This window comes from Homo sapiens, chromosome 1 (genome assembly GCF_000001405.40).
Source record: "Homo sapiens chromosome 1, GRCh38.p14 Primary Assembly".
Taxonomy (NCBI): Eukaryota; Metazoa; Chordata; class Mammalia; order Primates; family Hominidae; genus Homo; species Homo sapiens.
In genome coordinates, this window is record NC_000001.11 from 236,158,810 (window position 1) to 236,172,778 (window position 13,969).

A 13,969-nucleotide genomic window follows, 5' to 3' on the forward strand; every position below is an offset into this window, starting at 1 on the left:
GTCCAGATGTGGGTCCTGGCTTAGGGGAGAGGATTTATAAAGTAAAATGGCTGCAGAGATTCTGAATCAAGCGCAGGTTGGAAGCATAGTGCTTTGTTGGTACATCAGAGACACTGCCTCCAGGGACATCAGAGGTGACTTCTGTTGAGTTCTGCTGACTGCACAGGAGACACTGTCATACCCACAAAGAATAGCAGGGGACATTTCTGCCAGAAACACCACTAAGACATTAGTAAAAATGATTGTAACCCAGCTACTCAGGAGGCCGAGATGGGAGGATCACTTGAGTCTAGGAGTTCAAGACCAGCCTGGGCAATGTAGGGAGACATCATCTCTAAAAAATAAGACAAATTAGCCAGGCATTTGGGCTGCACCTGTACATAGTCTCAGCTACTCAGGAAGTTAAGGCAGGAGGATTCCTGGAGCCCAGGAAGATGGAGGCTGCAATGAGCTATGATGGCACCACTGCACTCCAGCCTGGGTGACAGCAAGACCCCGCCTCTTAAAAACAAACAAACAAACAGAAAGATTGTAAGACAGCAAATGTCAACTTGAGTTAGTAGTTGAAAAAATAGGCTTGGCGGGGTGGCTCATGCCTGTAATCCCAGCACTTTGGGAGGCCGAGGCAGGCGGATCACGAGATCAGGAGTTCAAGACCAGCCTGATCAACATTGTGAAACCCCGTCTCTTTTTGTATTTGTAGAAATACAAAAATGAGCCAGGCATGGTGGCGGGTGCTTGTAATCCCAGCTACTCGGGAGGCTGAGGCAGGAGAATCACTTGAACCTGGGAGGCAGAGGTTGCAGGAAAAAAAAAAAGAAAAGAAAAAAAATAGGCAAGCGGGAGTTCAAAGGGTGGGAACAAATCAGTGACGCGTGAACAGACTGATTTATGAGGGCAGGGGGCAGAGTCCAGCAGCTGCTCAAAGGCCTTTATGCTTCTGTCGAAACAAGTACGTCACATGCAGAGCTCTAGGCCTTCCTGTGTCATCCGAAAGGATGGGGTGAAGGCCTGGGTTACCAAGGGGGCACAAGTCGCCCACAGGTCCGGGATGAGGAGGCCTTGGCCCACTGTGGGAGCGGGTGGTGCGGAAAGCCCATGAGGGCTCTCGAACATTCCCCAGCGCCTGACAGCGGCCAGCTGGGGACATCTCCCAGCCGTGGCTCAGCCTTCAACAAGTCAAAAAGCCAGCATCACCCACAGCGTCATCCCCAGATCTATTCTAGGTTCTGAGGTTCTAGGTGGGACTTTCAAAAGCAGAAGAAACGATGCTAAAACCGAAAGGAATTTGCCATTAGGGAGAAATGCTTTATTTTCACCAGATGACAAACTTCAGGGTTTCTGATCAAAGTTGCTGCAATTTCTTCTTTCTCCTTCAGGCCTGATTCTGCTCCCCTCCCCTGTCCTCCCATCCTTCTTGCCACAACGGGGGAAGCCCTGAAAAACCCCGGTGTTTTCATAGGCTGTGTGGAGCCCAAGGAAGGGGAGGGAAAGGAAGTGGGGCTCATTTACCACCATTCAGTTCCTGATCGGGTTCCCCAAGAAGCAGCTGGGACTCTCCAACCCAACCTCACTTCCCCGGGGTCCCTGTCATTAGGCAGATGGCACTCCCATGGCTGTCCCTGCCATGTTCCCTCAGACCCCTCCTTGCTGCCTCAGTTTCTCAGCCCTCCACCCTTCCCTGCCTCCTGCCTCTCCCTGTCTGCCCTTCTCGGGACCCAGGCTCCTTCTGTCTGTCCACAAGCATGCTCAGGTCTCCCCATCTTAAAAACAAGGTCTGGACCCCCTGAATAACCTCTTTCTTGCATTTCACAAACATGCGCTTTTGGAAAGCAGTTTATGCTCTTGAATTGACTCACTGCTCCCACTTCCTCCTGCTGCCATCCAGGGTCTGCCTGTTCCCCCTCCAGCCTCCCCGTCAGTCGAGCCTGCCCTTGGCCAGGCCCTGTGGCAGCTTAAGGTGAAGTGGTCCAGCCTGTCAGCCGCACTGGACACCCTGACTGTCTCCTGCCCGGGGCCTCTCTCCCCTGCAGTCTTTGAGGCCTTGACCACTGAGGGGACTGCTCTTTGACCTCCTCCCTACTCTTAGTTTTTTTTTTGTCTTTTTGTTTTTTTTTAAATAACAGCTTTATTGAGGTATAATTCACATTTTCTGTGCTGTCCCCATCTCGAAGTGTACCACATTCAGAGTTGCGCAGTGACCCCACAGTCCACTGTAGACCTTTTCCATCCCAGAAGGAACCCCGTGCCTCTTAGTGGTCACCCTCCAATTCCCCGCCACGCCCTCCAGGCCCAGGCATCATGAATCTGTGTTGGGCCTCTGATTTGCCTTCATTTTCACCTTCTCTGTCAACCCATGGTCTGCAGCCTTTGCTCTGCTCTGTATCCCAGGGACCTCTCTCACAGCACAGGTCTGCATTTCAGCTGTGCCAATGCTCCCCCGAAGCTCTCCGCACCCTTACCCTGGACAGCGGCCTCTTCCTGGCTGGTCCACACCCCAGCCCGACCTTCTGCTGCCCTCCCCAGCTCCGGGCTCCTGCAGCACCTTCTCTCCTCACCCCCTCCCTCACTGCTCCTAAGTCCACATGCAGGTTCACACCTCCTCATGCTTCCCACGCCTCCATGCACTTTTCACACCTCCACACATCACATCTCCTCACACCTCCACACACACTTCACACCTCCTCACGCCTCCCACTCACACCTTCTCACGCCTCCCACATCTCCACACGCTTTTCACACCTCCTGTTATGGTTTGGCTGCATCCCCATGCAAATCTCAACTTGAATTGTATCTCCCAGAATTTCCAAGTGTTGTGGGAGGGACCCACAGGGAGGTAATTGAATCATGGGGGCTGGTCTTTCCCATGCTATTCTTGTGATGGTGAATAAGTCTCACAAGATCTGATGGGTTTATCAGGGGTTTCTGCTTTTGCTTCCTCCTCATTTTTTTTCTCTTGCCGCCGCCATGTAAGAAATGCCTTTTGCCTCCTGCCATGACTCTGAGGCCTCCCCAGCCATGTGGAATTGTTAAGTCCAATTAAACCTCTTTTTCTTCCTAGTCTCGGGTATGTCTTTATCAGCAGTGTGAAAATGGACTAATACAGTAAATTAGTACCAGGAGTGGGGTGTTGCTGAAAAGATACCCAAAAATGTGAAGCAACTTTGGAACTGGGTAACAGACAGAGATTACAACAGTTGGAGGGCTCAGAAGAAGACAGGAAAATGTGGGAAAGTTTGGAACTTTCTAGAGACTTATTGAATGGCTTTGCCCAAAATGCTGATAGTGATATGGTCAATAAAATCCAGGCTGAGGTGGTCTCAGATAGAGATGAGGAACTTTTTGGGAACTGGAGCAAAGGTGACTCTGGTTATGTTTTAGCAAAGAGATTGGTGGCATTTTACCCTTGCCCTAGAGATTTGTGGAACACTGAACTTCAGAGAGATGATTTAGGGTATCTGGCAGAAGAAATTTCTGAGCAGCAAAGCATTTAGAGGTGACTTCAGTACTCTTAAAGGCATTCAGTTTTAAAAGGGAAACAGAACATAAAAATTCAGAAAATTTGCAGCCTGACTATACAATAGAAAGGAAAAACCCATTTTCTGGGAAGAAATTCAAGCACGCTACAGAAATGTGTATAAGTAGCAAAGAGCCTAACGTTAATCCCCAAGTCCATGGGGAAAATGTCCCCAGGCCATGTCAGAGACCTTCATGGCAGCCCTTCCCATCATAAGCCTTAAGTCCCTTTTGTGGGCTGGGCCCAGGGTCCCCATGCTGTGTGCAGCCTAGGGACTTCGTGCCCTGTGTCCCAGCTGCTCCAGCCATGGCTGAAAGGGGCCAACGTAGAGCTCGGGCTGTGGCTTCAGAGGGTGGAAGCCCCAAGCCTTGGCAGCTTCCATGTGTTATTGAGCCTGCAGGTGCACAGAAGTCAAGGTCTGAGGTTTGGGAACCTCCGCCTAGATTCCAGAAGATGTATGGAAATGCCTGGATGCCCAGGCAAAAGTTTGCTGTGGGGGTGGGGCCCTCATGGAGAAGCTCTGCTAGGGCAGTGCAGAAGGGAAATGTGGGGTCGGAGCCCCCACACAGAGTCCCTACTGGGGCACTGTCTAGCGGAGCTGTGAGAAGAGGGCCACTGTCCTCCAGACCTCAGAATGGTATATCCACCGACAGCTTGCACTGCGCTCCTGGAAAAGCCACAGACACTCAACACCAGCCCGTGAAAGCAGCCGGGAGAGAGGCTGTACCCTGCAAAGCCACAGGGGTGGAGCTGCCCAAGACCATGGGAACCCACCTCTTGCATCACTGTGACCTGGATGTGAGACTTGGAGTCAAAGGAGATCATATTGGAGCTTTAAACTTTGACTGACCTGCTGGATTTCAGACTTGCATGGGCCCTGTAACCACTTTGTTTTGGCCACTTTCTCCCACTTGGAACGGCTGTATTTACCCAATGCCTGTATCTCCATTGTATCTAGGAAGTAACTAGCTTGCTTTCGATTTTACAGGCTCATAGGCAGAAGGGACTTGCCTTATCACAGATGAAACTTTGGACTGTGGACTTTTGGGTTAATGCTGAAATGAGTTAAGACTTTTGGGGACTGTTGGGAAGGCATGATTGGTTTTGAAATGTGAGGACGTGAGATTAGGAGGGGCCAGGGATGGAATGATATGGTTTGGCTGTGTCCCCCTCCAAATCTCAACTTGAATTGTATCTCCCGGAATTCCCATGTGTTGTGGGAGGGACCTGGGAGGAAGTAATTGAATCACGGGGGCCGGTCTTTCTTGTACTATTCTTGTGATAGTGAATAAGTCTCAGGAGATCTGATGGGTTTATCAGGGGTTTCCGCTTTTGCTTCTTCCTCATTTTTTTCTCTTGCTGCTGCCATGTAAGAAGTGCCTTTCGCCACCCACTGTGATTCTGAGGCTTCCCCAGCCATGTGGAACTGTAAGTCCAATTAAACTTCTTTTTCTTCCCAGTCTCAGATATGTCTTCATCAGCAGCATGAAAACAGACTAATATACCTCCTCATACCTCCCATGCCTCCACACTTTTCACACTTCCTCACACCTCCCATACTGCCTCACACTTCCCACACCTCCCATACCTCGACACACTTTTCACATCTCCTCCCATCTCCTCCCACCTCCCACACCTCCCCATGCTTTCAACACCTCTCATACCTCCTCACACCTCCCATGCCTCCTCACACTTTTCAGCACCTCCTCACAGCCCCCATGCCTCTCCACACCTCCCCATGCCTCCCCACACCTCTCACACTTCCTACACCTCCTCACACCACTGGTGCTTATTACTGACATGTCTGTCTGCCTGTGTATTTCTCTGGGACAGGCCCAGCTTCTCCTCCTTTTTACAATTCTTGGGTCCAACCCAGGGTCTGATGCAGACTCAGTGCTGAGTATCAGTTGACCTGACTTGAACACCACCAATTGGAAAGCCAGGATGATGTAAATTTTCATCTGGCCTCATTTGTTCCTTAGCCTCTCATAGGGGTCACACCTCCCTCTTTTTCATTCTTGTACATCTGGGGACACTGAGCAGGAGGTGCCCGTGCTGTCAAAGCACCAGAGAGTATGACAGCAGAATTCACGTCTGCCTCCCCACAGGAGCCGTCGCCCCTCCCAGCTGAGTTCCTGCCAAGGTCAGTGGGAGCCAGTGCAGACTGGCAGAAATGGGCAGCCGGATATGAGAGCCCAGCCGGCCAGAGAGCCAGGGTGAGCCAGGAGCTTTAGCTCAAGTTCCGGACACCCACCAGTCTTTAGCAAAGTCTCTCAGAACACAGAGGGGAGTGGGTGGGAGAGTTTAGATTTTTGTTTTTGAAAACTTGGTTTATGCCCTTTAATTAATGAGGGCAAAAGTTGTACTGAAATTATATGTGCGTTTGTTGATATTATCTATATAATAAGTTATATAGATAATGTAAGTACATATATATATAATTTCAGTTTCACATGCCAGGAATTCAAACACAACTTTAAAGAACTTAAGTTTAGGAATTAACTTGAAGGATTAAGGAAGAGTTTCTCAGCACAGCTTGAATAGTGCCCAGATGAATTCAAGAGAGAGAGAGAGAGAGAGAGAGAGAGAGAGAGATGGATGGAGTTTTGCTCTTGTTGCCCAGGCTGGAGTGCAATGGTGTGATCTCAGTTCACTGCAACCTTTGCCTCCCGGGTTCAAGCAATTCTGCTGCCTCAGCCTCCCAAGTAGCTGGGATTCCAGGTGCCTGCCACCACACCCAGCTAATTTTTATAGTTTTAGAGGAGACAGGGTTTCACCATGTTGGCCAGGTTGGTCTTGAACTCCTGACCTCAGGCAATCCGCCTGCCTCAGCCTCTGAAAGTGCTGGGATTACAGGCGTGAGCCACTGCACCCAGCCTGAATTCAAGATATATTGCCACAAATTATAAGAAGTGGATAGAGCTTTTCAAAACCATGGTCAAGGCTTTTATTTTGATGTTTGCACCATGGCTTTGAGCTTGGGAGGATGAAAATGACTGATTTAACATCAGATTGTGCCTTGATATGTGATGACTTTTTCCCTCCAGGCAGGGAGGTGGCCCTAGTGATGAAATGAGTAAGGGTTTGTGAGTTATCCGCATCTTGGCTGGCGTAAGTCATCCTTCCCTTTCAGGGCTAGAATGGTGAACTCCAGGGCCCTCTTGTACTCAGTGCATTGCTTGATCTGTGTTCATGTTCATGGGGTAAGGGCTGGGGAGCATCTTAAAGTTGCTGTTGCTTCTCCTTTGTTGTTGTTATCGTTACTCTTATTAAGGCTGCAGTGAACCTTCTGTTCATACTTGGTTCCATAGCGCAGTGCTTCCCAAACTCTATTCCCGGGAACACTCATTAGGAAGACTGTAATTGGTCAAATAGATTTGGAAAACCGCTGTATACCGTATGTTTCTCTTGAAGATTGACAATATATTTGCCTTTGAAAGGCTCTGACAATTCCTGCAGGGGGAAAAAGTTTTCCTAGCAGTTTCTAAATTTGATCACGTGACATTTATTTTCGGTAATATTTCTTACCAATTTCCAGTTCTGCTGGAACACCTTGAGAAGGCCTGCCTCAGAATAAATTCTTACAAGTGGAATTGTTGGGGCAAAGCATATGAACATTTATGTATGGTGGCCAGGAGCGCTGCAATACAGCCACTTCGTGTGTTGGGTAAGAGTAATCCAGGCGTGCTGGACTGGGTTACCTACCGCTTGGTAAACCCCACTAAGTGGGCAAAATATCAAAACAGATTTTTATATTGAACGGGTCAAACATTTTTTAAAAAATTCTGTAGTTTCTTCTTCTCACTTTGGCATTTGTGAAGAAGCCTCAGTTATTAAAAGCAAGATCCCTCAGGACTGTTTAACAGAAAGGCATTGTTCTGTGTTGTGTGAAATCAGTAGCATATTTTGTAATGGAACTTTGGAGTCATGTATTAATCTATTTCTTGTTTCTAAGAGAGGTTGTTTGGTAACGTTTCTTTTTACGGATGTCAGAGAAATACCAAAGGTGACGTGTCTTGCCTAAAATCCCGTGGTGGGTTGTCAGATAAAGTGGAACCAGGACTCCTTTAAAGAAGGGTCACTGTACTGAGCCATCTATTGTGCCGTTACCAGAGAAAAATATTTTAATGTATATTAAATATATACATTATATATATTTATATATACATATATATATTTATATATATACATTATATATATTTATATATATACAGGTGTAAATCCCTGCCTCCTACCTACTTGCAAAAAGGATTTATGACAGAGAGAAAACTCATAGCAGAACCAAATAATTCTTCTAGAAGGTTGGAAGCCTCACCTATGAAGCTCGGAGGAGGTTATAAAAGGGAAGAGGTGCTTACTTAGAAATCTTTAGGAATGGCCGGGCACAGTGGCTAACGCCTGTAATCCCAGCACTTTGGGAGGCCGAGGTGGGTGGGGCACTTGAGGTCAGGCGTGAGCCATTGTGCCTGGCCGTCATAAGATCATTATCTTATGGTTCTTTTTTTAAGAGCTGAGGCCTCACACTATATTGGTGAGGGTGGTCTTGAACTCCTGGGCCCAAGCGATCCTCCCATTTCAGCCTCCTCCCTGAGAAGCAGCGGAGAGTAGATGTGACTGGGGGATTCATGAGGGAGAGGAGGACCAGGCGGGTATGCACGTTGAGCACCGGGGTTCAGGAGCTTCAGGGGGCTGTGGGAGGAAAGGCCCCGAGGCCGAGGGTAGGTTTAGGAACTCCATGGAGAGCAGTTTGCTTGCAAGTGGGGAATGTGAGTCTTCTTTCCCCGCCCCGGCTTCATTGAAGTATAATTGACAAAGACGGAATATATTCAAAGTGTGCACCGTGATGTTTTGATAATACATGTACATAAGGAATGATTCCCACAATCAAGCTAGTTAACAACATATCCATCACCTCACACAGTTGCCCACCCTTGTTTTGTGGTGAGAACACTTAAGATCTCTCTTAGCAAATTTCGAGTAAACAATACATTGTTACTGACTGTAGTCACCACGCTGTAGGAGAGCTCCCCAGGACTTACTCAACGTGGCTGGAGGACACTACGCTAAGTGAAATAAGCCAGTCACAGAAAGACAAATAGATCCCGCTTATATGTGGAATCCAAACAAGTTAGAACTCATAGAAACAGAGAGTACAGTGGTACAGTGGTGGTTGTCAGGGGCTGGGGGATGAGGGGTGCGGCAGGAGAATGGAGAGATGTTGGTCAAAGAGTCCAGACTTGCCGGAATGGGCGTCTTCAGATGCTTGACAGATTGTTTCTGAAAAGCTGTCCTCTCTCCTCCAGTCTTCCACACCCTTTCTTTCCTTCTCCCAGTACTGTATTGCAACCCTGTTAAACACCAGGGATCCATGTGCTCATGTGTAACTGCTCCACAGGCTACCCTAGTCCCCAGAGACCCCCCACTGAGATCCCCATGAGCCTGAGCCCCTGCTTGAATCTCCAGCACGTGCTGTAGCAGTAGCAGCCTCCTTGTCTGGGGCGTGGAAGCATGCGTGGACACCTACCTTCTGCCTCCTCTTCACCTTCTCGAAGGCTCTGCCAGGCTCTCTGCCATCCAGTGTGTGTGGGCAATCCAGCAATTGTGAAGACTTAGAAAAGAGCTTGAGAAATGCCAGTCTGCAATATTTCTGTTTCAGAAAACAGTCCAATTTGATACTTCTTTTGTCCAAAGATGTTTTGTTATTTTAAATGTACTGCAAAGTTTGAGGCCTGGGTAGGCAGACACTTACTAATTTGGTGCCAGCAAAAATTCTAATAAAGAGAGTGGACTGTTTGTTTATCTTAAATAAGAATCTTAAGGCCGGGTGTGGTGGCTCACACCTGTAATCCCAGCACTTTGGGAGGCTGAGGTGGGCAGATCACCTGAGGTCAGGAGTTCGAGACCAGCCTGGCCAACATGGTGAAACCCCATCTCTACTAAAAATACAAAAATTAACTGGGTGTGGTGACACCTGTAATCCCAGCTACTTGGGAGGCTGAGGCAGGAAAATCACTTGAACCCGGGAGGCAGAGGTTGCAGTGAGCCGAGATGGCGCCATTGCACTCCAGCTCGGGCAACAAGAGTGAAATTCTGTCTCGAAAAAAAAAAAAAAAAAGAATCTGAACAGAAGTACTTGGCCATGGTAGACTAGTAATACATTTAGTTTTGTTTTCTTTTTTAACCATGTTCGAATTCCTTTACTATTAAAACTGTATGTGCAACATAAGAAATGTTTGGCATAACAAACGTGGACATTTCAATTATAAAAAACGTGCCCAGCGCTGGGGGATGAAGGGGCAGAGGAATTCCCAGTGATGGTATCAGTCTGGTTCTGTCAACATATTGGACCCCAACCTGCCATGCTTTTCTGTCGTTGCAGGTGATTTTCAAAGCCAAGTCAAAATATTCTCCAGAATTACTCAAATACCGGTAAGTACTGCAGGGCATCTCTTTCTGTGGTAGAAGGGGAAAGTGCCGACACATGAATCTCATCTCTCCATTGGGGTTTGCACACATCGCTGTTCTGTGAGCCGCCGGAAACAGTCCTGCCTGCTGGCTGGCTGCCCACATTGTGCACATCATGTGCATTGCCGGTAAGGGTCAGGTCATCAGATCATGACTTCATGAATCATGGGGACTTGCATCATACTTACCCAGTTCAGAAACAAGAGCCTGGTGCCTTTCCTAACAGGAGGAAATACATGGGAATAAAATAGGTGTATGTTGCCTCTAAACCTTCCTGAGGCACTTGAGAAGAGCCTCAGCAGAAGGAAACAGGGTTCCTTGAAGATGCAGTGCTTTGCCAGGTGCTTCCCCTTCCCCATCCCGCACCTCCCATGCTCCCACTGCAGGTGCAGGTGCAGGTGCAGGTGCAGGTGCAGGTGCAGGTACAGGTACAGGTACAGGTGCAGGTGCAGGTGCAGGTGCAGCTGTGGCAGGGCCTCGCCCCTGCAGCCTGCCACCTGGTGGCCTTACCCGCCTTGTCTCAGCTGCTGGTAGGCTCCGGCTCCTTGTTTTCCAGAACTTCAGTGCCCATTGAACCCTAAGTTGCTACACAGCTGCTTGCAGGGTATCCATCCACATCCAGAAATACTGTTCTGACCATTCAGTGCTCATTTAGGCACCAGGAGGAAGAATGTGTTATAGCTGAGAAGTGGACACTCTATATTTGTAACAATGGCTTAACACAAAGGCTTGCAGAATCAGGCAGAGCAGGATGTGCAACATGCCAAAAACATGGACACCGGGAGGCATGGACATTTTGTGGAAGAGAGGCTTGTGCCAGAGTGTAATCTGGAAGGGAACCTCTTAAGTTATGTGAGGAGGGGGATCTGCATTTTCCTATGGAGGGGTTCGTAGCTCTCCCCAGAGGGGAGAGGCCTATGACTTTCCTAAGGCCAAGAACCAGTGGCTTAAAGAATACTCAGGTTTGGCTGGGCACGGTGGCTCACGCCTGTAATCCCAGCACTTTGGGAGGCCGAGGTGGGCTGATCACTTGAGGTCAGGAGTTCGAGACCAGCCTGGCCAACATAGTGAAACCCTGTCTCTACTAAAAATACAAAAATTAGCCGGGCGAGGTAGCGCACATCTGTTGTCTCAGCTACTTAGGAGGCTGAGGTGGGAGAATCACTTGAGCTCAGGAGGCAGAGGTTGCAGTAAGCCAAGATTGCACCACTGTGCTGCAGCCTGGGCAACAGAGTGAGAATCCATCTCAAAAAAAAAAAAAAAAAAAAAAAAAGAATGGTCAGGTTTGACTGGGGTTGGGGGAGGAGAACAGGCCTCTGGAAGAGGCGCGGGGGTGCAGTGTGAGTCCAGGGGTTCTGGCGTTTCTGCCCGGGAGAACTCCATTGCCAACGGCAAACATTTCTGAAAAGGTGACTCTGGCCATTGCCTCCTTGGGTCAAAATGAAAAATTATTTTGTCATTTTTTAAAATATGTTAAATCGTATACATATTTTATTTAAATATATATCATCTAAAAATATGTAAAGACTTTTTACTTAAAATTCTGAAGGTGTAATAGTTTAATCCTGAGTTTATATCCAAGGAAACCAGTTCAGAAGGTTTCTCTCAAGTTCAGAAAGTTCTGTGAAGGTGCCTGGGCCAAGATACAAGTCCCAAGACTCACCGTCCCGGGTTTTGTTTTGTTTTTCACCTGATCTTGCTGTCTCCCTTCACTGCTTTGTACGTGGCTCAGTTCACGTCTCTACCAGGCTCAGGTGGAACTTCAGCGTCCACTGTGAAATGATGTTGGTCCCAAGGAGAGCAATTTAAAGTACAGGTTGAGTGTCCCTAATCTGAAATGCTTGGGACCAAAAATATTTCAGATTTCAGATTTTTTTGGATTTTGAAATATTTGCATATACAGGCCGGGCACGGTGGCTCACTCCTGTAATCCCAGAACTTTGGGAGGCCGAAGCAGGTAGGTCATTTGAGGTCAGGAGTTTGAGACCAGTCTGGCCAACATGGTGAAACCCCGTTTCTACTAAAAATACAGAAATTAGCTGTGCGTGGTTGCAGGTGCCTGTAATCCCAGCTACTCAGGAGGCTGAGTTGGGAGAATCGCTTAAGCCTAAGGGGTGGAGATTGCAGTGTGTGGAGATCATGCCACTGCACTCCAGCCTGGGCAACACAGCGACTCTGTCTCAAAAAAAAAAAAAAAAGGAAAAAGATATTTTTGTATACATAATGAGAGATGGGGGGATTGGATGGGACACAAATCTAACACGAAATGTATTTATGTTTCAGATACACCTTATACACATATCCTGAAGGCAACTTTATACAACATTTTAAATAACTCAGCATAAAACAGTTGTAACTGTGTTTTGACTGCAATCCATCACATGAAGTCAGGTGTGGAATTCTCCAGTTGTGGCATCAGGTTGATTGATGCTCAGAAAGTTTCAGATTTTGGAGCATTTCGGATTTTGAATTTTTGGGTTAGGGATGGTCAACCTGTATAAAGTACAAGTAGACAGTTCCCTCTCTTCTCCAGTAACAAGATAGTAGCCTCTCCTCTGCATCTATAGTCTTTGCCCTGCATCCCCCCAGCCAGAAATGTAGGTCAAAGCATGAGTGAAGATGGGCATAGGAGGAGAACATTCTGTCTGATCGGACCGTGGAACTGATTTTATCTTGGAAGCAGTTGAGGCTGGGGTAATTAGATGTCTTCTAGAGGTGGAATATAAAAGCACTGGTCAGAAAGGAAATTGTTTAAAAAGCTTTCAACCTCTGAGCACGGGGACTGGGGTCTTCGGGTGAGAAGATATGTGCGTGGGGCAGTCCTTGCTTGATCCTTGAGCCAAAGTATACCTCAAAGACAGGCTGCGCTGACATGTATGGCTGCATTTTATTGGGAAGGGATTCACAGAAATGAAGGGAGAAGATGGGGAGAAATAAATTTGGATCCAGATGTTAAAAGTGAGATGTTTGGGACTGGGCGCGGTGGCTCATGCCTGTAATCCCAGCACTTTGGGAGGCCGAGGCAGGCAGATCACCTGAGATCAGGAGTTTGAGACCATCCTGGCCAACATGGTGAAATCCCACTAAAAATACAAAAATTAGCCAGGCATGATGGCGCATGCCTGTAATCCCAGCTACTTGGGAGGCTGAGGCAGGAGAATCACTTGAACCCAGGAGGTTGAGGTTGCAGTGAGCCGAGATTGTGCCATTGCACTCCAGCCTGGGCAACAAGAACAAAAACTCCATCTCAAAAAAAAAAAAAAAAAGTGAGATGTTTAGGCCAGTGAAGTTGGAGAGTTCCTTGAAACAGGAGGGTGAGGTTTCAATGGGACATGCCTGTTAACCCAGTCCTAGTGATTTTGTTGCCAAATATAAAGAAATACTAGGAGTTATTCCTGTGTAGGCACATCTTTAGTCTCATCTATAGAATTCCTCAGTTCTCTTAAACCAGATGCCACTAGAGACATTTCAGGCCACAATCTCTCCCTTGAGATGCTTTGGTATGTTGGCTTCTAAATAGATTGGCTTCCCTCATTTAATCATAACTCACTTGAAATAAAACATGAGCCATTAGTCTAGAACTAGTTGAAACTTTCCACTCCAATCTATTCCTGTAGTAATTCACTGGTTTTGAAGATAATTTATATTTAACTCAGCCAAGAACCACTTTATTTTTCACTTAAAATCACCTCTACCCTCCCACATCTGCTAGCTCAGAGTTTTGCTGGAGTGGAAGGCAATTTAATTCAGGCTTTCTCTTTCTCAGTCTATGTATTTTAATTTATTTGGTTTAAGAAATGTGAACATTTGGCATGGGAGTAATCATTTCCAACTGTTTGCCCTCTAGCTTTGTGATTTTTTTAAATAAGTAAAAAATACAGTGAGCCAGGTTTTCCTTTTTTTTTTTTTTTAAGAGACAAGGTCTCACCCAGGCTGGAGTGCAGTGGCGGTGGTGCAATCATAGCTCACTATAGCTTTAATCTCCTG

The 13,969-nt window shown here is 47.3% G+C and overlaps 1 protein-coding gene across 2 annotated transcripts in view, besides 3 other annotated features; it reads left to right on the plus strand.

Annotated features, from left to right (window-relative positions):
• Positions 1-13,969, plus strand: part of GPR137B (G protein-coupled receptor 137B) — a 66,369-nt gene that overhangs the window by 16,271 nt on the left and 36,129 nt on the right. For both annotated transcript variants that reach the window (NM_003272.4, XM_017002209.3), the window contains exon 2: positions 9,897-9,946. In NM_003272.4, the coding sequence (NP_003263.1) occupies positions 9,897-9,946 (50 nt within the window). The remainder of the gene's footprint in view (positions 1-9,896; positions 9,947-13,969) is intronic.
• Positions 777-826: an enhancer, noted in NCBI's record as "active region_2816". NCBI's record gives its function as "activates an Ori minimal core promoter by ATAC-STARR-seq in GM12878 lymphoblastoid cells {active_cell/tissue: GM12878}" and the evidence as "EXISTENCE:reporter gene assay evidence [ECO:0000049][PMID:35858748]".
• Positions 927-1,376: an enhancer, noted in NCBI's record as "active region_2817". NCBI's record gives its function as "activates an Ori minimal core promoter by ATAC-STARR-seq in GM12878 lymphoblastoid cells {active_cell/tissue: GM12878}" and the evidence as "EXISTENCE:reporter gene assay evidence [ECO:0000049][PMID:35858748]".
• Positions 1,467-1,516: an enhancer, noted in NCBI's record as "active region_2818". NCBI's record gives its function as "activates an Ori minimal core promoter by ATAC-STARR-seq in GM12878 lymphoblastoid cells {active_cell/tissue: GM12878}" and the evidence as "EXISTENCE:reporter gene assay evidence [ECO:0000049][PMID:35858748]".